The sequence below is a fragment of the Homo sapiens genome, chromosome 18 (assembly GCF_000001405.40).
Source record: "Homo sapiens chromosome 18, GRCh38.p14 Primary Assembly".
Lineage (NCBI taxonomy): Eukaryota > Metazoa > Chordata > Mammalia > Primates > Hominidae > Homo > Homo sapiens.
In genome coordinates this window covers 44,319,968-44,346,155 of record NC_000018.10, presented here as the reverse complement: position 1 = coordinate 44,346,155, position 26,188 = coordinate 44,319,968, and the positions used below count along the sequence as shown (strand labels likewise).

General features: G+C 36.8%; 2 long non-coding RNA genes and 1 pseudogene across 2 annotated transcripts in view, besides 1 other annotated feature; 2 read left to right on the top strand and 1 right to left on the bottom strand.

The window, feature by feature from the left end:
• LINC01478 (long intergenic non-protein coding RNA 1478) overlaps nucleotides 1–22,721 on the top strand; it is a 208,263-nt gene extending 185,542 nt beyond the window's left edge. The window contains exons 3-5 of the long non-coding RNA NR_110792.1: nucleotides 19,674–19,909; nucleotides 20,728–21,004; nucleotides 21,552–22,721. This is a non-coding gene — a long non-coding RNA (long intergenic non-protein coding RNA 1478). The remainder of the gene's footprint in view (nucleotides 1–19,673; nucleotides 19,910–20,727; nucleotides 21,005–21,551) is intronic.
• LOC124904291 (uncharacterized) lies at nucleotides 3,126–4,821 on the bottom strand. The gene is made up of 2 exons (XR_007066348.1): nucleotides 4,637–4,821; nucleotides 3,126–4,433 (listed from the first exon to the last, which is right to left on the bottom strand). It is a non-coding gene; the product is annotated as an uncharacterized LOC124904291 (long non-coding RNA).
• Nucleotides 3,832–5,031: an enhancer, noted in NCBI's record as "CDK7 strongly-dependent group 2 enhancer chr18:41921090-41922289 (GRCh37/hg19 assembly coordinates)". NCBI's record gives its function as "activates an origin of replication core promoter dependent on BRD2, BRD4, P300/CBP, MED14 and CDK7 cofactors, with strong dependence on CDK7, by STARR-seq in HCT116 cells {active_cell/tissue: HCT116}" and the evidence as "EXISTENCE:reporter gene assay evidence [ECO:0000049][PMID:35650434]".
• KRT8P5 (keratin 8 pseudogene 5) lies at nucleotides 23,868–25,596 on the top strand (annotated as a pseudogene).

Below are 26,188 nucleotides of genomic sequence, written 5' to 3'. Positions count from 1 at the left end.
AATAGCTATTTCTCAAAAGAAGATATAAAAATGGCAAACAAGTATATGAAAAGGTGCTCAACATTATTGATCATCAGAAAAATGCAAATTAAAACTATAATGAGGTGTCATCTCACCCCAGTTAAAATAGTTTTTATCCAAAAGGTGAGCAATAATGAATGCTGGCAAGGATGTGGATAAAAGACAACCCTCATACGCTGTTGATGGAAATGTAAATTTGTGCAACTACTATGGAGAAAAATATGGAGATTTTTAAAAAAAACTAAAAATTGAACTCCCATATAATCCAGCAATCCTACTACTAGATATATATCCAAATGTTAGGAAATCAGTATATCAAAAAGATATCTGCACTCCCATATTTATGTTCAGCAATATTCATAATAGTCAAGATATGAAATAAACTTAAGTGTTCAACTGCCAAATAAAGAAAATGTGGTACAAATATACAATGGAGTATTATCAATCCATAGAAAATAATGAGATCCTGTAATTTGCAACAACATGGATGGAACTGGAGGACATTATGTTAAGTAAAATAAGCCAGGTACAGAAAGATAAACATTTCATGTTCTCACCTACTCATAGGAGATAAAAATTAAAACAATTGAACTCATGGATAAAGAAAGAGTAGAATGATGGTCAGCAGAGGCTAGGAGGGGTAGCGTCTGTGTGGGGGGCATGTGGTGATGATTAATATGTACAAAAATACAGTTTGATATAATGAATAAGATCTAGTATTTTATAGCACAACATGATGACTACAATCAACAATAATGTACTGTACATTTAAAAGTAACAAAAAAAGTATAATTTGACTATTTGTAACACAAAAGATAAATGCTTGAGCCAATGGATAACCCATTTACCCTGATGTAATTAGTACACACTGTATGACTATATCATGTATCCTATACATATATATACTTACCATATACCCATAAAATTAAAAATTAAAAAAAGAAACTTATAAATACATTTTTATACCTTTTGCTGTGGTTCCCACATCTGAGCATACCTTCTAAGAGAGTAATTTTAAAAAGTACAAATGCTGTAGGTGTATATGTAGATATTAAAATGTTATTTATAATGGCAAAGATTGGGGTCATCTGTGACACTGGCAACAGAGGAATGTTGGATACATTTTAATACTGTGTTTCTCCATGCACCATCTAACCAAACACTTAGTGTATATCTGTAACAGACAAAGATATTTTTTAAATCACAACTTCAATATCTTATCAAAACCAATACAATAAAGGTCATTTAGAAATATCTTTAAATCACTTAATACAAGTCTGTTTTAAATTTTCCTTAATTTTCACAGAAATATCTGTTTAAATCAGGTTCCAAACAAATTTTATGCATTATTGTTTAATATCCCCCTAAAGTCTTTTTAACTTTTAACAAGCTAAAACTGACCCTGTATTCTGTATCGTTTTCTTCCAAATGCCAGTTAGTTATTCAAAAATCTGGGTCATTTGTCATATAGAATTTCCCACATTGTATTTGGCTAACTCTTTGTGGTTATCATTTAACATGTTTTTCTAAGCTTCATTTTTTCCTGAAAACTGGCAGTTGGATCTAAAGCCTTAGCAAGATAAAAGCTTATTATTATTATTTTTTTACTCCAGCAAGAGCAAGGCAGAGATGGTACTGTATGCTTCATATTGCATTATATCAAAAGAAATGAAATATTTTCTTTTCCTACCTTTAGTAACAGTAGATTTCAATGATGAAAGTGGAATTCATTTTTAAATGAAGGTCCCAATTAGCTTTCATCTGAAGGGTTAAACAGCCATTCATGACTAATACCTAGATCCACTGTTTCTTTATTTTCTTTCTATTTTTGTTGAGGTAGGGTCTTTCTTTTGCCCAGGCTGGTCTCAAACTCATAGTCTCAAGTGATCCTTTCACTTCTGCTTCCCAACTGGCTGGAATTACAGGTGTAAGCCATGCCTCCAGCTATTATTTCATTAGGAAAAAAATTATATAACAATCTTACTTCATTTATAAGCTGTATTTATACTACAAAGAATAACTTTTTATTATTCTCTTTCTGGTTTCACTGAAATACAATCCACGCAGAGTAAATACATGATATTTTCCAATTTTCAGAATAATGAGTTAGTTCCTGTGAAAACCCCAACTTTGATGAGAATTTTTAAAAGATCATGAACACATGTATTTTTAATGTTTTGATGTGTTTCAATTCATTGAAGTTATTACTATTTAGATAGTTATGTTTGGCCCCTATTTTTGGCCAGTAAGCTTCCCTAAAAGTCAATTTGTATGTCCTTCTGACATTACCCCACACTTTGCATATCTCTTGGCTTTTAGAGACAACAAGATAACCACACTCATTTTGGAGTTGTCTTGCCCTAGAGAGGAACTACAGTCTCTTTCATTCCAAATTTTGGCAGAAGAAGAAGAGTGTTTCATACTGGTGTGTCTGCAGGCTAGGAAGAGGGAAGAGTCTGAAATTGGGAGTAGGGGGAATGGAGATAATGCTCCTTCTGTGGATTTCAATAAGAACTGGCTCTGTAGGGGGTTTCTCTCTGTGTATTTCTTTCTGTTATTTTTTGAAAGCCTAAGGGCTTTCATCACTGACTTCTTGAATGATTATGTCACATTTATCTCACTACTTTCTAGTTTGTTTTTACTAAATTTGAAAAATAAAGTTTGGAGCCAGAAAGCACTTTTAGCCAAGAGTCAAAACACTTGGATTCTCAGAACCTGCTAACTATGTGGCCATAGACAAAACCTAAAAATGCTCTGGCTCTCATTTTTTTTTCATTTACAAAATGAGGATTATAATAAGTGCCAACTTAACTTTCAGAAAAGATGTGCAAATATTACTAAAGCAAAAGTGGGATGTCTTCAAAAAACACAAGTGTACAATTGTGTATTGCTTAATGACAGGGATACACTTTAAGGAATACATTGTTAGGTGATTTCATTGCTGTGCAAACATTATAGAGTGTACTTTACGTAAACTGAGATGGTACAGCCTACCACATACTTAGGCTATATAACATAGCCGATTGCTCCCAGGCCACAAACCTGTATAGCATGTTGCTGCACTGACCAGTGTAGGCAATTTTATTTATTTATTTATTTATTTATTTGACAAGAATGAGACTTTAATCAGTTTTAAGTGGAGTTTATAGTGTATGCAATTTTAACACAATGTTAAATATCTGTGTATCTAAACATATCTAGATGGAGAGGACAGAGCAAGATGGCCTAATAGAAGCCTTCATTGATCATCCCTCCCATAGGAACACCAATATAACATCTACACAAAAAAGCACATACACAAGAATGAAAAATTATGTGAGGTATCACAATACCTGGTTTTAACTTCATATCACTAAAAGAGGCACTGAAGAGGGTAGGGAAAACAGCCTTAAATTACTGATGCCACCCTTCTTCCATACTCCCAACAGTGGCCATGTGGCAAGGAGAATCTATGTGTTTGGGTGAGGGAGAGTGTGGTGAATGAAGTGCTGCTCTGTCACAGCAGAAAGGAAAACATGGCTAAACTCAGCTGATGCCTACACATGGAGGGGGGATCGTTTAGACCAGCTTTAGCCAGAGGGGAGTTAGCCATCCCAGTGGTTGAATTTGAGTTTTGGGAAGCCTTGCCCATGAGGGCTAAGGGGCTCTGGGGTCCTAAATACGCTTGAAATGCAGTCTAGGCTACAAGGACTTGCAATTTCTAAAAAGTCCTAGCAGCATACTGGGCTCAGAGCTAGTGGATATGGGACATCAGCCAGGGTGACTAAGGGAATGCTTGTGCCTCTCCCTCGACAAACCCAGGCAGCACAGCTTGCAGCAACAAAAATGACTCCTTTATTTTACTTGAGGAGAGGAGGAGGGAAAGAAGAGTAAGGGGGACTTTGTCTTGCATCTTGGTTACCAGGTCAGTCATATTAGGATAGGGCACTGGGAAGAGTCATGAGTCCCCCATTCCAGGCCCTAGCTCCTGAACAACATATCTAGACATACCCTAGACCAGATGAGAACTTGCTACCTTAAGGAAAGAAGCCAGTCTGGCAGGATTAATCACCTGCTGACAAAAATGCCCTTGGGCCTTGAAGAACCAGCAGCAATACCTACATAGTTAGTCATGGGCCTTGGGTGAGTCTCTGAGATATGCTGGCTTCAGGCACCAGCTTGGCCACATTGGGTAGAGCACAAAGAGGGCTATTGACTTCCCTGATTCTAGGCCTTGGCTCTTGGGTGGCATTTCTCAACATGTTCTGGGCCAAAGGGGAACCCATTGCCCTGAAGGGTGAGTCGCAGGCCTGATGGCTTCACCACAGGCTGACTGAAGAGCCCTTGTGGTCTTTAAGTGAATATCTGTGATAGCCTGGTAGTACCTCTCTTGAGTCTCTGGTGGTGGTGGCCACGAGGAAAGGCTCCTCTGCCTGGGGAAAAGGGAGGGAAGAGTAGGAAAAATATTATCTCATGGTTTGAGTGACACCTTAGCCTCAATACAATAGAACACCAGGCAGATTTCTAAGATCTTTGATTCCAGTCCCTGGCTTCCAGACAGTACCTGTGGACCCACCCGGGGACTGAGGAAACTCACTAACCTGATGAAAAAGACAAGCCTGGTTGGTTTTGTTACCTGCTGATTATAGAGTCCTAGGGCCTTGAGCAAACAGAAGCAGTAGCCAGGTAGTGGTTACACTGGGCTTTGGGTGAGACCAAGTGCTGTGTTGGCTTCAGTTCTGACCCAGTGCAGTCTCAGTGGTAGTGGCCACAGAGGTGTTTATGTCTAGCTTCAGGCAGCTCAGCAGATAGAGAGAGACTCTGTTTGTTTGGGAGAAATTAAAGGAAGAGAACAAGAGTTTCTGTTTCTGTCACTTTCAACTTTTCCCCACTAAGTATAATGTTGACTATGAGTTTATCATAGATGGCTTTATTACCTTAAAGTATGTCCCTTCTATGCCGATTTTACAGAAGGTTTTAATCATAAAACGATGCTGGATTTTGTCAAATGCTTTTTATGCAGCTCTATTGAGGTAATCATATGATTTTTGTTTTTAATTCTGTTTATGTGGTGTATCACATTTATTGACTTGCATATGTTAAACCATGCCTGCATTTCTGGTATGAAACCCACTTGATCATGGTGGATAATTTTTTTGATATGCTATTTGAATACTCGCAGTCAACTGATCTTCAAAAGAGCAAAAAAAAAAAAAAAAAAACAACAACAAAACAAACAAACAAAAAAAACATAAACTGGGAAAAGGCCCCCCTATTCAACAAATGATGCTGAGATAACTGGCAAGCCACGTGTGGAAGAATAAAATTGGATCCTTATGTCTCACCTTATACAAAAATCAACTCAAGATGGATCAAAGACTTAAACCTAAGACCTGAAAACATAAAATTTCTAGAAGATATCAGAAAAACTCTTCTAGACATTGGCTTAGGCAAAGAGTTTATGACGAAGAACCCAAAAACAAATGCAACAAAGATAAATAGATGGGAGTTAATTAAACTAAAAAGCTTCTGCACAGCAAAAGAAATAACAAGCAGAGAAAATAAACAACCCACAGAGTGGGAGAGAATTTTCACAAACTATGCATTAAAAAAGGACTAATTACCAGAATCTACAAGGAACTCAAACAAGTCAGCAAAAAAACCCAAATAATCCCATCAAAAATTGGGATAAGGACATGAATAGATACTCTCAAAAGAAGATATACAAATCACCAAAAAGTATATGGGAAATGCTTAACATCACTCTTTATCAGGGAAGTACAAATCAAAACCACAATGAGATATCACCTTACTCCTGTAAGAATGGCCATAATCAAAAAATTAAAAAATAATAGATGTTGGCATGGATGTGGAGAAAAGGGAATGCTTTTACACTGCTGGTGGGAATGTGAACTAGCACAACCAATATGGAAAACAGTATGGAGACTTCTTAAAGAACTAAAAGTAGATCTACCATTTGATCCAGCAATTTCACTACTGGATATCTACCCAGAGGAAAATAAGTCATTATATAAAAAAGACACTTGCATATGCATGTTTATAGTGGCACAATTCACAATTGTAAAAATATGAAACCAGCCCAAATGCCTATCAATCAACAAGTGGATAAAGAAAATATGATACACACACACACACACACACACACACCATGGAATACTACTCAACCATAAAAAAGAATGAGATAATGACATTTGCAGCAATCTGGATGGAGTTGGAGACCATTATTCTAAGTGAGGTAACTTAAAAATAGAAAACCAACATTGTGTGTTCTCACTTGTGAATGAGAGCTAAGTTATGAGGACACAAAGGTATAAGAATTATAAAATGAACTCTGGGGACTCGGGGGGAAGAGTGGAGGGGGAAAGGTTAAAAGACTACACATTTAGTACAGTGTACACTGCTTGGGTAATAGGTGCACCAAAATCTCAGAAACCACCATAAAGAAATTATCCATGTAACCAAACACCACATGTTCCCCCAAACTATTGAGATTTTTAAAAAAGACAAAAAAAATTAAGATAACACAGAAAAGGAATTCATAATTCAATTAGATATATTTAACAAAGAGATTGAAATCATTAAAAAGAATCAAGCAAAAATTCTGGAGTTGTAAAATGCAACTGACATACTGAAGGCATCAGAATCCCTTATTGGCAGAATTGATTAAGCAGAATAAATAATTAGTGACCTTGAAGAGAGGGTATTTGAAAATACACAGTCAGAGGAGATTAAAAAAAATAAGAATATAGCACACTTACAAGATCTAGAAAATTCTCTCAAAAGATCAAATCTTAGAGTTATTGGCCTTAACAATTTATGGGTTAACCCATTATGGGAAGGGGTAGAGAAAGAGATAGGGGTAGAAAGTTTTTTCAAAGAGATAACAGAGAACTTCCCAAACTGAAGAAAATATATTAACATTCAAGCACAAGAAGTTTATAGAACACTAAGCAGATTTAACTCAAAGAAGACTACCTCAAGACATTTAATAATCAAACTCCCAAAGGTCAAGGATAAAGAAGGATTCTAAAAGCAACAAAATGAAAGAAACAAATAACTCACAAAGGAGCTGCAATATGTCTGGAAAGTTTAAAGGCCAGGCAAGAGTGGCATGACATATTTAACTTGCTGAGGGAAACATCTCTTAACACAGAATGTATCTGGCAAAAATATCCTTCAATCATGAAGGAGAAATAAAGACTTCCTGACAAACAAAATCTGAGGTATTTTATCAACACCAGACTTGTCCTATGAGAAACACTAAAAGGAGTTCTTCAATCAAAAAGTAAAGAACATTAATGAGCAATAAGAAATTATCTGAAAGTATAAAGTTCACTGTAAATAGTAAGTACTCAGGAAAACAGAATATTATAACACTGTAATTTTAGTGTGTAAACTACTCTTAAGTAGAAAAACTAAAAGATTAACCAAGCAAAATAATAACTACAACAACTTTTCAAGCATAGACAGCATAATAAGATATAAGAGAAACAGCCAAAATTAAAAAGGGGAGAGATAAAGTGTAGAGTTTTTATTAGTTTTTTTTTGCTTGTTTGTTCATTTGTTTATGCAATATGTGTTGTCTTCAGTTTAAAATAGTAGGATATAAGATAGTATTTGCAAACCTCATGGTAATGTCAAATTAAAAACCCTACAACAGATACACAAAAAATAAAAAGTAAGAAATCAAATCATACCACCAGAGAAAATCACCTTCATTGAAAAGAAGGAAGGAAAGAAGGAAGAGAAGACCACAAAATTACCAGAAGAAAATGGTTATTTTCTTTTAATGGCAGGATTAAGAGTTCTCACTTATCAATAATAAAGTTGAATGTAAATGAACTAATTTCTCTGATCAAAAGATATAAAATGGCAGAATGGATTAAAAAAGAAGACCCAGTGATCTGTTGCCTACAAGAAACACACTTGATCTATAAAGACACACACAGACTGAAAATAAAGAGATGGGAAGAGATATTCCATAACAATGAAAATCAAAAAAGAGACAGAGTAGCTATACTTATATAAGAAATAATAGATTCAAGTAAAAAACTATAAAAAGAGACAAAGAAAGTTACTATATAATGATAAAGGGGTCGATTCAGCAAGTGGATATAACAATAGTAAATATATATGCACCCAACAATGTAGCTCCCATATATAGAAAACACATATTATTAGAGATAAAGGGAGAGATAGGCCCCAATATAATAATAGCTGGAGATGACAACACATCACTTTCAGCATTGGACAGATTTCCAATTTAAAAAATCAACAAAGAAACATCAGACTTAATCTGCATTATAGATCAAATGAACCTAATAGATCTTGACAAACATTTTATTTTGTGACTGCAGAACACACATTCTTCTCTTCAGCATGTGGTTCATTCTCAAAAAAAGACCACATGTTAGTACACAAAACATGTCTTAAATTCAAAAAATTGAAATAACATCAATCATATTCTCTGGTTACAGTGCAGTAAGACTAGAAATTGATAATGAGGAATTTTTGAAACTACACAAACACATGCAAATTAAACAATATGCCCCTAAATGACCAGTGGGTCAACGAAGAAATTAAAAATAAAATTGAAAAGTTTCTTGAAACAAATGATAATGGAAACAAAACATATCCAAACCTATGAGATACAGTGAGGGCAGTACTAAGAGCAAAGTTTATATCTATAAGTGCCTACATCAAAAAAGTAAAATAACTTCAAATAAATAACCTAACAATGCATCTTAAATAACTGGAAAAGCAAAAACAAACCAAATCAATAATTAGTAAATAATATCAGAGCATAAATAAAATTGATATGAAAATACAAAAAACAATGAAATAAAAAGTTAGTTTTCTAAAAAGATAGACAACATTAACAAACCTTTAGCCAGATTAACTAAAAAAACAAGAAGAGACCCAAATAAACATAATTATTGATGAAAAAGGAAACACTAAAACTGATACTAAAGAAATTCAGAAAATCATTAGTGGCTACTATGAGCAACTATATGACAATATAATGAAAAATTAAGAAGAAATGGATGATTTTCTAGACATATGCAACCTACCAAGATTGAACCATGAAGAAACCCAAAACCTGAATAGACCAATAACAAGTAATGAGATTGATTCTATAATAAAATCTCTCAACAAAGAAAAGCCTGGGATCCAAGAGCTTCAATGCTGAATCTTACCAAACATTTAAATAACTAATCCCAAAAACTACTCCAAAAACCAGAAGAGATAGAAACACTTCCAAACTCATTCTATGAGGCCAGTATTAATCTGATATCAAAACCACAGACACATAAAAAAATACTACAGGCCAATGTCCCTGATGAATAATGATGCAAAATCTCCAACAAAATGCCCACAAAATAAATTTGACAACACATTAAAAAGATCATTCATTATGACCATGTGGGATTTATCCCAGGGATAAAGTTTGGGTCAACATATGCAAATCAATCAATGTGATACGTCATATCAACATAATGAAAGACAAAACAATATGATCATTTTAATTGATGCTGAGAAAACATTTGATAAAATTCAATATCCCTTTATGATAAAACCCCTCAAAACACTGGGTATTGAAGAAGACATATACCTCAACATAATAAAAGCCATTTATGACAGATGCACAGCTAGTATCATACCAAATAGGGAAACACTGAAGGCCTTTCCTCTAGGGTCTGGAACACAAAGATGCTCACTGTCATTCAAGATAGTACTGAAAGTTCTACCTATAGCATTCTGACAAGGAAAAGAAATAAAGAGCACCCAAACTGGAAAGAACAAAGTCAAATTATTATTGTTTGCAGATGATACAATCTTATATTTTTAAAAACCTAAAGACTCCATGATATGGGTTGGATCTGTGACCCTGCCCAAATCTCATGTCAAATTATAATCCTCAGTTTTGGAGATGGAGCCTGGTAGGAGGTAATTGAATCATGGGTGAGAATTTCCCCTTTGGTGCTAATCTTGTGATACTGAGTGAATTATTGTGAGATCTGGTTGTTTCGAAGTGTGTAACACCACCTGCCTCTCTTTCTCCTGTTCTAGCCATGTGAAGTTATAGCTCCCTCTTTGCCTTCTGCCATAATTGTAAGTTTCCTGAGACCTCCTCAGAATTTGCAAAAATGCTGTCATGTTTCCTGTACAGCCTGTGAGATCATGAGCCAATTAAACATATTTTCTTTATAAATTACCTAGTTTCAGATATTTTTTATAGTATAGAAGTGAGAGCATAGACTACACTCCACCAAAAAAAAATTAGAACTGATAAATTCAGTAAAGTTGCAGGATACAAGATCAACATTCAAAAACAAGTAGCATTTGTATATGCCAACAGCAATCAATCTGCAAAAGAAATCCCACTTTCAATAGCTACAAACAAAAAACAATACCAAGGAATTAATCAAAGAAGTAAAAGCTTTCTACAATGGAAACAATAAATATTGATGAATGTCCAACTACCCAGAGCAATCTACAGATTCAATGCAATCCCTGTCAAAAAACCAATGACATTCTTGAAGTAGAAAAAAAAAATCCTAAAATTTACATAGAACCCCAAAAGACCCAGAATAGCCAAAGCCATCTGGGGCAAGAGAACAAAACTGCAAGCATCACATTACTTGAGTTCAAATTATATTACAGAGTTATAGTAACCACAACATCATGGTACTGACATGTAAGCAGACATATGGAGCAATGAAACAGAATAGAGAACCCAGAAATGAATCCATACATTTACAGTGAAATTTTTTACAAATGTGGCAAGAACATACACTGGGGAAAGGATACTCTCTTCAGTTAATGGTGCTAAGAAAACTGGTTACTCGTATGTCTAAAAATAAAACTAGACCCGTATCTTTCACCATATGCAAAAATCAAGCCAAAATTTATTAAAGACTTAAATCTAAGACCTCAAACTATGAAACTACTGCAAGAAAGAGAAACTTTAGGACATTGTAGTGGGCAATGATTTCAGTAATACTCCACAAGCCTAGATAACAAAGCAATAATGGACAAATGGGATCCCATTAAGTTAAAAACCTGTACAGCAAAGAAAATGATCAAAAAATTGAAGAGACAACCCATAGAGTGGGAGAAAATATTTGGAATCTATCCATCTGACAAGGTATTAATAACCAGAATATATAAGGAGCTGAAACAAGTATATAGAAAAAAATCTAACCATGTGATTTAAAAGTGTACAAAAGATCTGAATATATATTTCTCAAAAGACATACAAATGGCAAATACGTATATGAAAAGGTGCACAACATCATTCATTATCAGATAAATGCAAATCAAAACTACAAAGAGATGTCTTCTCTCCCCAGTTAAAATGGCTTTTATCAAAAAGGCAGGCAATAAAAAATATTGGTGAGGATGTGTATAAAAGAGAATCCTCATATGCTATTGATGGGAATGTAAATTAATACTATTATGGAGAACAGTATAAAGTTTCCTCGAAAAACTAAAAATAGAGCTACCATATGATCAAGCCTTCCCACTTATGGGTATATACCCACCCCCCCGCCCCACCAAAAAAAAGAAATCAGTATATTGAAGTGATGTCTGTACTCCCATGTTTATGGCAGCACTATTCACGGTAGGCAAGATTTGGAAGCAACTTGTGTCCATCAACAGATGAGTGGATAATGAAAATGTACATATACATAATAGAGTGCTATTAATCCATAAAAAATAATGAGACCCTATGATTTGCAACAACATAGATGGCACTGGATTTCATCATTTTAAGTGAAATAATCTCAGGCTCAGAAAGACAAACTTTGCATGTTCTCACTTATTTTTAGGAGCTAAAAATTAAAACAATTGAATTCATGAAGGTGGAGAGTAGACGAATGGTTACCAGAGGCTGAGAAGGATAATGAGGAATGGGGGGAAAGTGAGAATAGTTAATTAATGTAAAAAAAAAAAGAATATCCAAATAAACACAATCTTTAATGACAAGGGGCATTACCATCAACTCCATGGAAGTTCAAAAAAAACCCTTAGAGTCTACTACTGACACCTCTCTGCACATAAACTGGAAAATCTAGAAGAAATAGGCAAATTCCTGGAAACTTACAACCTCCTAAGAGTTAACCAGGAAAAAATTGAATCCCTGAACAGACCAATAGTGAATACCAAAATTGAATCAGTAATAAAAAGCCTTCCAACTGGAAAAAAGCCCAGGACCAGACAGATTCACAGCTGAATTCTACCAGATGTATAAAGAAGAGCTGGTACTATTCCTACTGAAACTATTCCATAAAATTGAGGAGGAGGAAGTCCTCTTTAACTCATTCTCTGAAGCCAGCATCATCCTGATGGGAAAACCTGGAAGAAAGGCAGAAACACAACAGAAAAAGAAAACATCATGGAATATCCTTGATGAACACAGAAGCAACAATCTTCAACAAAATACTATCAGACCAAATCCAGCAGTACGTGAAAAAGCTATTCCACTATGATCAAGTAGGCTTTACCCCTTTGATGCAAAGTTGGTTCGAGATATGCAAATTAATGTGATTCATCACATAAACAGAACTAAAATTTAAAAAATCATATGATTATCAGAAAAGTCATTTGATAAAACTCAACAACCCTTCATGTAAAAAAATCCTCAATGATAATAGCCATCTATGACAAACCAATAGTCAACATCATACAGAATGGGCAAAAGCTGGAAGCATTCTCCTTGAGAACTGGAACAAGGCAAGTTTGGTAACTCTCACCACTCCTATTTAACATAGTACTGGAAGTTATAGCCAGAGAGATCAGGCGAGAGAAAAAAATAAAAGGCATCGAAATGGGAAGAGAGGATGTCAAACTATCTCTGTTTGCAGATGATACAATTCTATACCTAGAAAACCCACAAGGTTCTGCCCAAAGGTTTCTAGATCTGTTAAACTACTTCAGCAAAGTTTCAGAAAACAAAATCAATGTACAAAACTCAGTAGCATTTCCATACACCAACAATGTCCAAACTGACAGCCAAATCAAGAACACAATTCAATTCACAATAGCCATAAAAAGTATAAAATACCTAGGAATAGAGCTTAACAAGTGAGGTCTAAGTTCTCTACAACTAGAATAATGCAACACTGCTCAATGAAGTCAGAGATGATGTAAAGAATTGGACAAACATTCCATGCTCATGGATAGGAAGGATCCATGTTGTTAAAATAGCCATACTTCCCAAAGCAATCTAGAGATTCAATGTTATTCCTATCAAACTACAAATGACAGTCTTCACGGAATTAGGAAAAAACTATTTAAAAACTCATATAAAAGCAAAAAAGGAGCCTGAATAGCCAAGGTAATTATAAGCAAAAATAACAAAGCTCGAAGTGTCTTGTTACTGGCTTCAAACTATGCTACAAGGCCACAGTAACCAAAACAGCATAGTACTGGTATGAAAACAGACATTTAGACCAAAGGAATAGAATAGAGAGCCCAGAAATAATGTCAGACACCTATAACAAACTGTCTATGACGAAGTTGGCAAAAATAAGTAATGAGGAAAGGACTCCCTATTCAATAATTGATGCTGGGATAACTGGCTAGCCATATGCAAAATATTAAAACTGGACCCTTTCATTACACCATATATAAAAATAAACTCAAAATGGATGAAAGACTTAAGTGTCAAACGTAAAGTTATAAAAACTTTGGAAGATAACCTAGGAAATATCATTCTGAACATAGATCTTGGCAAAGACTTCACAATGAAGATGCCAAAAGCAATTGCAACAAAAACAAAAATGACAAGTGGCACTTAATTAAACTAAAGAGCTTCTGCAGAGCAAAACAAAACTATCAACAGCATAAACAGACAACCTACAGGATGGGAGAAAATATTCACATACTGTTCATCTGACAAAAGTGTAATATCCAGCATCTATAAGGAAGTTAAACAAATTTACAAGTATAAAGCAAACAACCCCATTAAAAAGTCGGCAGCATGTGAACAGACACTTTTCAAAAGAAGACATGCATGTCGATAACAGGCATATGAAGAAATGTTCAAAATCACTAATCATTAGAGAAATACAAATCAAAACCACAATAAGGTACTGTATTAGGGTTCTCCAGAGGGACACAACTAATAGGATATATGTATATATGAAACGGAGTTTACTAAGGAGAATCAACTCACAGGATCACAAGGTAAAGAAATCCCACAATAGGTCATTTGCAGGCTGAGGAGCAAGGAAGCCAGTAGTGGCTCAGTCTGAGTCCCACAGCCTCAAAATTAGGGAAGCCAACTGTGTGGTCTTCCGTCTGTGGCCAAAGGCTCAAGAGCCCCTGGCAAACCACTGGTGTAAGTCCAAGAGTGCAAAGGCTGAAGAATCTGGAGTCTGATGTTCAGGGACAGGAAGTTCCCAGCACAGGAGAAAAATGAAAGTTAGAAGACTCAGCAAGCCAGATATTTTACTTTCTTCCGCCTGTTTTTTCCAGCCATGCTGGTAGCTGATTGGATGCTGCCCACCCACATTGAGGGTGGGTCTTCCTCTCCCAGGCCACGAACTCAAATGTTAATCTTTTCTGGAAACACCCTCACAAACACAGCCAAAAACAATAATTTGCACCCTTCAATCTGATCAAATTGACAATGTTAACCATCACAGGTACCATCTCGCACCAGTCAAAATGGCAATTATTAAACAGTCAAAAAATAACAGATGCTGGCAATGCTGTAGAGAAAAGGGAATGCTTATACGCTGCTGGTGGGAATAAAATTAGTTCAGCCATTGTGGAAAGCAATGTAGCAATTTCTCAAAGAACTCAAAACAGAATTATCATTCAACCTGGCAATCTTATTCTTGGGTATATACCCATAGGAATAAATCATTCTAGCAAAAAACATATGCATGAATATGTTCATTGCAGCACTCTTCACAATAGCAAAGACATGGAATCAACTTAATCCTCATCAATATAGACTGGATAAAGAAAATGTGGTACATACACACTATGGAATATTACGCAGCCATTAACAATGAGATCATGTCCTTTGCAACAACATGGATGCAGCTGGAGGCTATTATTCTAAGCTAACTAAAAGAAACAGAAAACAAAATACCACCTGTTCTCACTTATAAGTGGAAGCTAAACATTGAGTACACATGGATACAAACAGGAAACACAATAGACTCTGAGGCATACTTAAGGGTAGAGCATGGGAAGAGAGAGGATCTAAAAACTATTTATGAGAAACTATGCTTATTACCTGGATGATGAAATAATCTGTATGCCAAACCCCTGTGACATGCAATTTGCCTATATGACAAACCTACACATGTACCCCTGAAGCTAACAATTAAAGTAGTAACTACAATAATAATATATAGCAGCTTAAAATAAAAGAACTGATATATGTTTCCTGATACCCATTGCACATTTTTTTTCCTTTCACATTTTGTTTGTTTGTATTTTGTGTTTCTTTTTCTTTTTTTATTATACTTTAAGTTTTAGGGTACATGTGAACAACGTGCAGGTTAGTTACATATGTATACATGTGCCATGTTGGTATGCTGCACCTATTAACTCGTCATTTAACATTAGGTATATCTCCTAATGCTATCCCTCCTCCCTCCCCCCACCCCACAACAGGCCCTGGTGTGTGATGTTCCCCTTCCTGTGTCCATGTGTTCTCATTGTTCAATTCCCACCTATGAGTAAGAACATGTGGTGTTTGGTTTTTTGTCCTTGAGATAGTTTGCTGAGAATGATGGTTTCCAGCTTCATCCATGTCCCTCCCTACAAAGGATGTGAACTCATCATTTTTTATGGCTGCATAGTATTCCATGGTGTATATGTGCCACATTTTCTTAATCCAGTCTATCATTGTTGGACATTTGGGTTGGTTCCAAGTCTTTGCTACTGTGAATAGTGCCACAATAAACATACGTGTGCATGTGTCTTTATGGCAGCATGATTTATAATCCTTTGGTTATATACCCAGTAATGGGATGGCTGGGTCAAATGGTATTTCTAGTTCTAGATCCCTGAGGAATCGCCACACTGACTTCCACAATGGTTGAACTAGTTTACAGTCCCACCAACAGTGTAAAAGTGTTCCTATTTCTCCACATCCTCTCCAGCACCTGTTGTTTCCTGACTTTTTAATGATTGCCATTCTAACTGGTGTGAGATGGTATCTCATTGTGGTTTTGATTTGCATTTCTCAGATGGCCAGTGATGATGAGCATTTTTTCATGTGTCTTTTGGCTGCATAAATGTCTTCTTTTGAGTAGTGTCTGTTCATATCCTTTGCCCACTTTTTGATGGGGTTGTTTTTTTCTTGTAAATTTGTTTGAGTTCATTGTAGATTCTGGATACTAGCCCTTTGTCAGATGAGTAGATTGCAAACATTTTCTCCCATTCTGTATGTTGCCTGTTCACTCTGCTGGTAGTTTCTTTTGCTGTGCAGAAGCTCTTTAGTTTAATTAGACCCCACTTGTCAATTTTGGCTTTTGTTGCCATTGCTTTTGGTGTTTTAGACATGAAGTCCTTGCCCATGCCTATGTCCTGAATGGTATTGCCTATGTTTTCTTTTAGGGTTTTTATGGTTTTAGGTCTAACGTTTAAGTCTTTAATCCATCTTGAATTAATTTTTGTATAAGGTGTAAGGAAGGGATCCAGTTTCAGCTTTCTACATATGGCTAGGCAGTTTTCCCAGCACCATTTATTAAATAGGGAATCCTTTACCCCATTTCTTGTTTTTGTCAGGTTTATCAAAGATCAGAGGTTGTAGATATGCGGCATTATTTCTGAGGGCTCTGTTCTGTTCCATTGGTCTATATCTCTGTTTTGGTACCAGTACCATGCATGCACATTTCAATCATGGTAAATTACTGAGGTTTGAATCTGGCTTGATGTAAAGATGTGAACTCCTTGGTTGCAGAAACTGCATTTATTTTTCAATACTATGGACTTGTTTACCCAGTAGTCAGTGGAATACCTGGCACATGGTTAAGTAAATACATGTTGAATAAATAATTTTCTTTTGAAAGAAAGTTGATTAATGTAAGAGTTTAATGTATCACTGCCTCCAGAATGGGACAGGCTTTGATTCATTCACCAACAGGGTGGGACATAAACAGAAGTATAGCTATATTCATATTAAAAGGCATCACTCTAATGTTATGGCCATGTTCATTGACTGTTTCCATTCTACCCCCATCCAACTCCCAGAAAAAAGAAACAAAAGAACAGATCAGCTTGGATTCTATTACAGTGCTGATGGTAACAGCATCTGTGTAACCTACCTAATAGGTTGGTGCAAAAGTAATTGTGATTTTGCCATTTTAATGGCAAATTTTAAAAACTGCAATTACTTTTGCACCAACATAATAGTATGCCAGAACTTTTCTTCATGTTTGCTGAGTTTGCTTTCCCTTGAGCTTGTAACAAGTATTGTTTTCTGCAACATTTTATTAGAACTTGATTTCACATGGACTGTGGACAGATACATCCATACTTATTTCAATCAGCTTATAAACTATTATTTTTTAAAATAAAGACATAGACCTAGATTCATATTCTTTCATTTTCATTTGGGGCACTAACTATTATAATATCCCTTTTGAGTATATCAAGTAATTTTAAAGCTTTACTTCCATGTACTAATATATTTTTAAAAATCTCTTTAAGTAGTATCTATTGCCCTTAGGGCCATTTAATGTCAAATTTTAATTTTTTGATAATCATTCTCTTATGTAATTTTTGAGATAGAAGCTGTGATATTATTTGGGGAGCTGGGAGCAATTTGGGGCTTGTTATAGGCATTTTTCCTCAATAAATTATTGAAAGGAGACTAAGGAAAAAATTATGATTATTATAAAATAGCTGATTACATGATAATAAACAAGGAAGTCATCTGGTTATCTTTGTTTTTCCTTCAGACAGTGCTTCAGATTTCTATAGATACAAACATCTAGGTGATTGTATGAAATTGTCACCATTTCCAAAATATTTTCTCAAAAATATATGATGCAGGTTCAATCAAGCCTATGATGATAGGCTTCATTTGTGTGGGTGTGATTAGGGAGGGAGAAAATATCAAAGTACAAAGTAGAACATTTCTGAATAGAGCTACACATGCTTCGATTAGAAAAATCCCAAGATTTTTGTACCATCTTCACATTCCCAATAATTCCGTTTCTACAGACTCCTGTAAAAGGAAGAAATTGGTTGGCATCTCTGCAAGCCCCTCCTAGCCAGAGCAGTCAAGAAAATGCCATACAATGTGTCCCCTTGTTTATTCTACTCAACATGTGCAGATCTTTGTATTTTTGTCTTTTATTAACTTGGCTTTTTGATAATATGGTCATGCACCACAAAACAATGTTTTGTTAAATGATAGACCTCATAGATGACAACAGTGGCCCTATAAGATTGTAATAGAGCTGAAAAAGTTCTATTGCCTAGTGACATCATAGCATAATTACTTTATTTTAAAAATAAATTTAGTGTAGCCTCGATGTACAGTGTTTATAAAGTCTATATTAGTCTCCAATAATATCCAGGGCTTCACATTCACTCACCTCTCCCTCATTGACTCATCCAGATCAACGTCCAGTCCTGCAAGCTCCATTTATGGTAAGTGTCCTATCCAGTTGTGCCATTTAAACATTGTTTTGACCATATCTTTGTCCTACCTTTCCTGTTTAGTTACACAAATATTTATCATTGTGTTATAATTACCTACAATATTTAGTACAGTAACATGCTGTATAGGTTTGTAGCTTAGGAGCAATAGACCACACCCTCTAGGTTTCTGTAAATATCCTCCATGATGTTTGTGAAATAATAAAATTCTGTAAAAATGCATTTCTCAGAATGTATGCTATCATTAAGCAACATGTGACTGTATATGGTAACGGGACACACTTATAAATAAAAGAGATAAAATGGTTAAAATCTTGAGTAGCCTTTCAGAACAAACTGCTGAGAGAAAAATACATTGTGCATTGTGTGTTTGTAAATTTCCAAAGGAAATATATCACGAGGACAAATTGATAGAAGTGATCAAAGTTTTTTGAAAGCGTAACTGGATTGGTGTATAAAGGAATATGTATGATTTGAATTAATTATTTAACGAAATGGATACATGTGAAAAAGACGACGGCTTTTTTTTTTTTTTGCCTTTCTCTGAAGGACAACTGTTGCAGATGCTCTTAGATTTTACATACAACATGGAAAAACTTAAATCATCTTTAATTCTTGGGTGCAATATTTACAAACAGTAATAGCTCATATTTATATCACTCAAAGGTTTGCAAACCTTTTTTCTACATAGTTATTACCTTTATCCATATTGGTATATGGTGGGCAGATGAGAATTTGTCTTTTTTTACTTAAGGGAAATTAGCTCTGAGAGATTAAATAGTTAATGGGGCAATATAGGAACCTGGCCCCCTGAGCCCCTGTGCAAGGGTTTGCCTCCTATTCACCACACATCTTTTGGGCTCTGGGAGCGAATGCTTCTTATGGCACCATCTTGAGCAAATAATTTCAGTTTTTCTGTTTTTTTTTTTTCTTCATTGCCCCCATATCAGATGGATGATGTTGCAAGAATTCTTGGAGATTTACACATAATTTCTGTGTTTTCTGTTTTGCAGAAGAAAGAGACATTATACAAATGCAAGCTGTTGTCACAACAATGATAAGAAATCAGGAGTCGAAAGATGTGGAGTAAGGGGGAATTTCAGAGAAACCACAAAACACAAAATAGGAAACAGAGACAGGAGAAGATTGCTATGACAAAATTGCAGAAGGTGAAATCTTTGGCAGCCTCTTATTTCTCTGGAGAATATGATATTGTCAGGCTGAGGTGGAAGAATCACATGGTCATACTGTAAGTGCTATGGTTCCAAGTGGTAATGTTATTGATCAATTTTCAACCTGAGATTTGTAATGATAATCCCCACAAGTTGCTTGAGATCCTTAACAGTGAGGTTTTTAGTGAGTTTAACCAACTGTCAGTGCTTGAAAACTCGCCTACAGGGGGCAGCACAAATACAAGTAAACTTAGGGGTAAAGCATGAAATGCATCCAGATTCACAATTGTTTCAGGATCTGCTTGCAACTGAAGCACTGTCTGCACAAGATTCGGCTGAGGGAATATATATAAAACAGAATGTTCCTGTATGATGTTAGTTTTAAAGGTAGATTTTTGGCAGTGGGAGGGTTAGCATTAACATTCATAATGTCACCTGTTATATATGTGTTATTTTTACATTTTAATATTTTAGAATACAGAAATGAATATGCTAATATCATTTTGAAGAGACAATGCCCGTATATATATCACTTGGAATTGTTAGAAATTGGTTGAGAATAAAACATGATCCCTTCTTATGAACTTGGAATTGTTAGAAATTGGATAAAAATTAGAGATGATCCCTTCTTATGACTTCAGCCTAGGAGTACATTGTAGAAAGCCAGGACCAAATCTGACACACTGAAACTTTGATTCCTGATTTTCAAAAAAGAAAAAATACTAGGTGAGGTAAACTGGCTTAACAAGAAGTTATGAATCCAGAACCTGGATGTCAGATATAGATGATCTAGGCTGAGGTGCCTATTCTCTGCCCTTTGCCCTATCCTAAAACTGTATGGATGGAAATGAGCCCACCTTTTGCTCTGAACTGGTGCATTCCTTCCTCACTGCAGGTTGAAGAGGTCTTGAAACATTGGGCTTTCCTCTACAAGCGGAAGGATAGCACTGGCAGCCATCCACTGGCCCAGCAATATCCTGGATTGAGACGATATCATTTGCATTACTTGCTGAATGAAACATAGTGAAAATGACTGCAGATAACCTCAACTAAGTCCAAGATATCATTTTCAAATCTGGACCAGCCCTTGCCATCTAGACTGAACAGAGATTCCAGTTTCCAGGAGAGTAGATGGAGTAATGATAAAAGCACCTCCCAAAACTTTTGCCTTGGTAGGTTTTAGATTCAGGAGATATCCGGGTTTCCATTCCCTTCAGATTTTCAATGACAGTGACTTCCAGTTCCCCACAAATTTCCCTTGATTTCCTGACCATAGAGCCACATATTCATGTTCTTTCCATCCATATATTAATACATGGGTATAAGTCAAGGTATAGGACTTCAAGCACTTTGCATGGATGCCCAGTCCATCTCACTGACTGTGTATTCTCAAAGCTTACCACTGGGCCTTAAGCCCTTTATTGAATGTAAAGCATTCAATAAAGAGTTTAAGGGCTCTTTTCTTTATTTCTGCCACATCCAGAATGCTTGGTTTAGTTAGGATCTGAAGAGGAATTGTATTTAAACATCTCATTTAGACCCTTCTAAGGAAAATACCAAGAAAAGAAGGTTGTGATCTTTTTCTTGGTAGTTTCATAATAGAAAGTCTTAAGAACAGTTACAGTTGTTGAAATCCACCCTGTCTCTGATTCATTGAATTGGAGATAGCTATCCAACTACTAGTTGTCCTTTCTCACTAACTCTCTTAATTATTTCTAGGTACTACAGAGTGGCACATAACTAAACATTATCAAGGAATTTTACAGCCCTAGGCCTTCTATTACTGTGTATTACAGTCTGCTGTAATCATTCTAATGGTCTAAGATGTTGCAAGTAATTTACTCACGGCCTGAACACCAGAAGTGCCAAAATTGCCTGGGAGTTTTATTCTGCATCCAACCAGTACCAGGAAGGAGGATGTATTACTTCTCGTTTCTCTACAAGTGTCAGTGCAAATCCAGCCATCAAACAAAACTTAGACCTAAAAGCTTTTAGATTACAGCGATTATTGCAGATTTTACATGAGATAAAAATGTAATTGCTCCATTTCCTTTATTCTTTCTTTCATTTTCTTCCCTCTCACTGTATATTTTAGATTGTCCTGCTTGACTGCCAGGTCAGACCCAGCACACAAAGATATCTGTCATAAGACTGGGGAGCTGCAGTGTTCTTTTTCATAAGAAATGAAATGCTTGAAATTTCTCTTCCAAATGAATCACAAAACTTCCATGGTCATTTTCATTTTAAATTATTTTATGTCTATGTAAACTCATGCATTGCCTATAACGGAATAATATTCCCAGCCATGTGGATAGTGACAGAGAATGAGCTGAAGGCAGCAATACTTCACAGGCAAAGTGGTACATGCATTTTTTTTTCATCTTGCTTTTTTCCTTTTCCATATTCACTCATCCTTTTAAATTCTTTGAATCTACTTTTTCCTCCCTCGCTCCCTTCCTATCCTCCATCTCTATCTTTGTCATTTATTAATTCTTTTTCTTCTTTTTCTCCAGACTTGGATATTTCTCTATCCTCTCATCATTCTCTTTCATACACATTCTCTGACTTGTAGGTCCTAAGATTCTCATATTCTAAAATTAACCCTCTGCTTAACAGGGTATGTTTATAAACCATTGGACTGAGGAGGAATTGCCCAAGTTATCAAAGACATCCTATCAGGAATGTCAGCCTTTTACTCTCATTCATGCTCAGAGAAACAGTGCTGCAGGGATTATAGCCTGGAATATGGCAGAACCAGATTTTAAATTTGTTTGCCCTTTGCCTCCTAATATCCATTTTCCCCTAAGTTTAACTGGGCATATTTCCCAGTTTGCCTTGCAAATGTGTTGCCATATGACTGCACTTTGTCTAATAAAATGAAACTGAGTATGTTTTGTGTAGTTTCTGGGAAGAGTCCTTAAATAGAGAAGGAACTCTGTTCTTATTATCTACCTTATGTCCTGAAATGCTTGTGTGATGGCTGAAGCTCCAGCAGTCATTTGTAACCATTAAGACAAGAGTCTTTTCCTAGGGAGGATGAGATAGAATAAACTGATAACTTTGTGGATTACTCATAATAGTCCTGAATTGCCTATATTTGTGCTTTTTTGTTAAAAAAAAAAAGTGAAACAGATCAACTTTTATTATGTTTAAACTACTTTTTTATTGAAGTTATCTATTCTATGAAGCTGAATCTAATTCTAACTGATGCACCCAGATTTTCTTAATTCCTGTTTCTACTCCAGATGCCCTGATGCTTATCTGAGTTTCTGGAATGATTTCTCATTTGACTACTTCCTACATGTCCCTGTTTCCTAATACATTAATATTGGGTTTGCCAATAAGAAACTTTTTAGAGTTGGAATATTGCTGATCATTTCTGTTTGCTAGATTTTGGTAACCAAATCATTTTGACTTCTAGGATCAGCCATTATTCTGATCCAATTTTGATCCATGTTCTATTCTGCCTGTAAAATGTGCCCCAAAGTCATGTACATAACCTTGACCTTTGGGTTTTGGTAGTTTGAGACCATTTCATTGATATTTCTCAATATCAATGAAAATTCTAGATGTTAATTCTTCATATTTTAAAAATTTTCATGTTGATTCTCACTTTTTTCCTTTGCTAAAGTTTATCTCTTTATTTCTATTAACATTTTTTTCTATTAGTGAGTCCTTGTTATATGTTCAAAACAAAATACTGAACAACTTAATTTACATATATTTTATGATGTAACTTATATCTGACAGTTTAATCTTCCTTAGTACTTCTGGTGAATGCCCTTTAGAATGAGAAGGAGGAAAATTTTACCTAATTATAATAGTTTACATATGCAAATGTTATCAGATTTAATAATCATGTTTCCCTAGAAATGATGAACAAAGCCACATGTGTTTTAAGTGGATCATAAATCTTGCTGATTAAGTTACTGTCCTGAGTCATTTACTATAAAGAAATTATAGTCATTAAACCTCTAAACTTTAGCTTAGCTCATTTCTCAAGCAGATATTTCTGGGTTTAAGATTTAAACGTGGACCTAGAAGCAGCTTCTCCACTCCTTCTCGAATCTCTGCCTGGTTCAGCCTGCCCACCTCCACTCCTGCCTCCACCATTTCCATCAGGGTGACCCAGAAGTCCTACAAGGTGTCCACCTCTTGCCCCCTGGCCTTCAGCAGCCACTCTTACACGAGTGGGCCTGGTGCCCTATCAGCTCCTCGAGCTTCTCCTGAGTGGGCAGCAGCAGCTTCACGGGTGGCCTGGGCAGATGCTATGGCTGGCCAGCAGTATGGGACCATCACTGACATCACGGTCAACCAGAGCCTGCTGAACCTGGAGGTGGACCCCAACAACCAGGGCATGTGCATCCAGGAGAAAGAGCAGATCAAGACCCTTAACAAGTTTGCCTCCTTCATCAACAAGGTACGGTTCCTGGAGCAGCAGAACAAGATGCTGGAGACCAAGTGGAGCCTCCTGCAGCAGCAGAAGACAGCTCAGAGCAACATGGACAACATGTTCCAGAGCTACATCAACAACCTTGGGTGGCAGCTGGAGACACTGGGCCAGGAGAAGCTGAAGCTGGAGGCGGAGCTTGGCAACATGCAGGGGCTGGTGGAGGACTTCAAGAACAAGTATGAGGATGAGATCAATAAGCCTATAGAGATAGAGAATGAATTTGTCCCCATCCGTTCATGCGGATGAAGCTTACATGAACAAGGTAGAGCTGGAGTCTCGCCTGGAAGGGCTGACTGACGAGATCAACTTTCTCAGGCCGCTGTATGAAGAGAAGATCCGGGAGCTGCAGTTCCGGACACACCTGTGGTGCTGTCCATGGACAACAGCTGCTCCCTGGACATGGACAGTATCATCTCTGAGGTCAAGGCACAGTACAAGGAGATTGCCAACCGCAGCCAGGCTGAGGCTGAGAGCATGTACCAGATCAAGCATGAGGAGCTGCAGACGCTGGCTGGGAAGCACAGGGATGACCCGCGTCCTGCAAAGACGGAGATCTCCGAGATGAATTGGAACATGAGCCAACTCCAGGCTGAGACTGAGGGCCTCAAACGCCTGAGGGCTTTCCTGGAGGCCGCCATCGCAGATGCCGAGCAGCTCGGGGAGCTGGTCGTTAAGGATGCCAACACCAAGCTGTCCGAGCTGAAGGCCGCCCTGTAGCAGGCCAAGCAGGATATGGCATGGCAGCTGCGTGAGTACTAGGAGCTGATGAACATTAAGCTGGCCCTGGACATTGAGATCGCCACCTACAGGAAGCTGCTGGAGGGCGAGGAGAGCCAGCTGGAGTCTGGGATGCAGAAAATGAGTATCCATACGAAGACCAGCAGTGGCCATGCTGGTGGGCTGAGCTCAGCTTATGAGGGCCTCACAAGCCCCGGCCTGGGCTCCAGCATTAGCTCTGGCACGGGCTCCAGCTCCTTCAGCTGCATCAGCTCCACCAGGGCTGTGGTTGTGAAGAAGATCGAGACCTGCAATAAGAAGCTAGTGCCTGAGTCCTCTGATGTCCTGCCCAAGTGAACAGCCATGGCAGCGCCCCCGTCAGCCTACCCTTCCTGCGGCTGTCCCAGAGTCCATGAGAAAGGCTGCTGTGCAGGAGAGCACAGGGAACAGGAGACCCACCTGAGGCTTAGCCCTCGCCCTCAGCCCACCCGTAGGGGAGTTTACTGCCTGGGGTACCCCTCTTGCCCATGCCCCCAGCTACAAAACAATTCAATTTTTTTTTTTTTTTTCAAAATAAAACCTCAGCTGGCTCTGAAAAAAAAAAAAAAAAAAAGTAAACGTGGCTTACAATGAAGAAATCAATCGAAAATTTAGAGAAAATAGGCCGGGCGTGGTGGCTAACTCCCGTAATCCCAGCACTTTGGGAGGCCGAGGTGGGCGGATCACGAGATCTGAAGATCGAGACCATCCTGGCCAACATTGTGAAACCCCGTCTCTACTAAAAATACAAAAATTAGCTGGACGTGGTGGCACGTGCCTATAATCTCAGCTATTCGGGAGGCTGAGGCAGAAGAATCACTTGAACCAGGGAATCGGAAGTTGCAGTGAGCCAACATCACGCCACTGCAGTCCATCCTGGCAACAGAGTGAGACTCCCTCTCAAAAAAAGAAAAAAAAAAAAAAAAAAAAAAAAAAGAAAGAAAAGAAAATTTAGAGAAAATAAGCACAAATTAGATGCCTCCGGACTCTTAGCAATTGTTTTTTTCTCTTTGGCTTTAATATCATACCTTATTGCTATGAACTCATTTACACTGAAGATAATTTTAATATGGATTAAGAATAAGAAAAGTATAATACCTTGTATGATACATAAACACTCAGGTTCAGATGAGTGAACAAAATAACT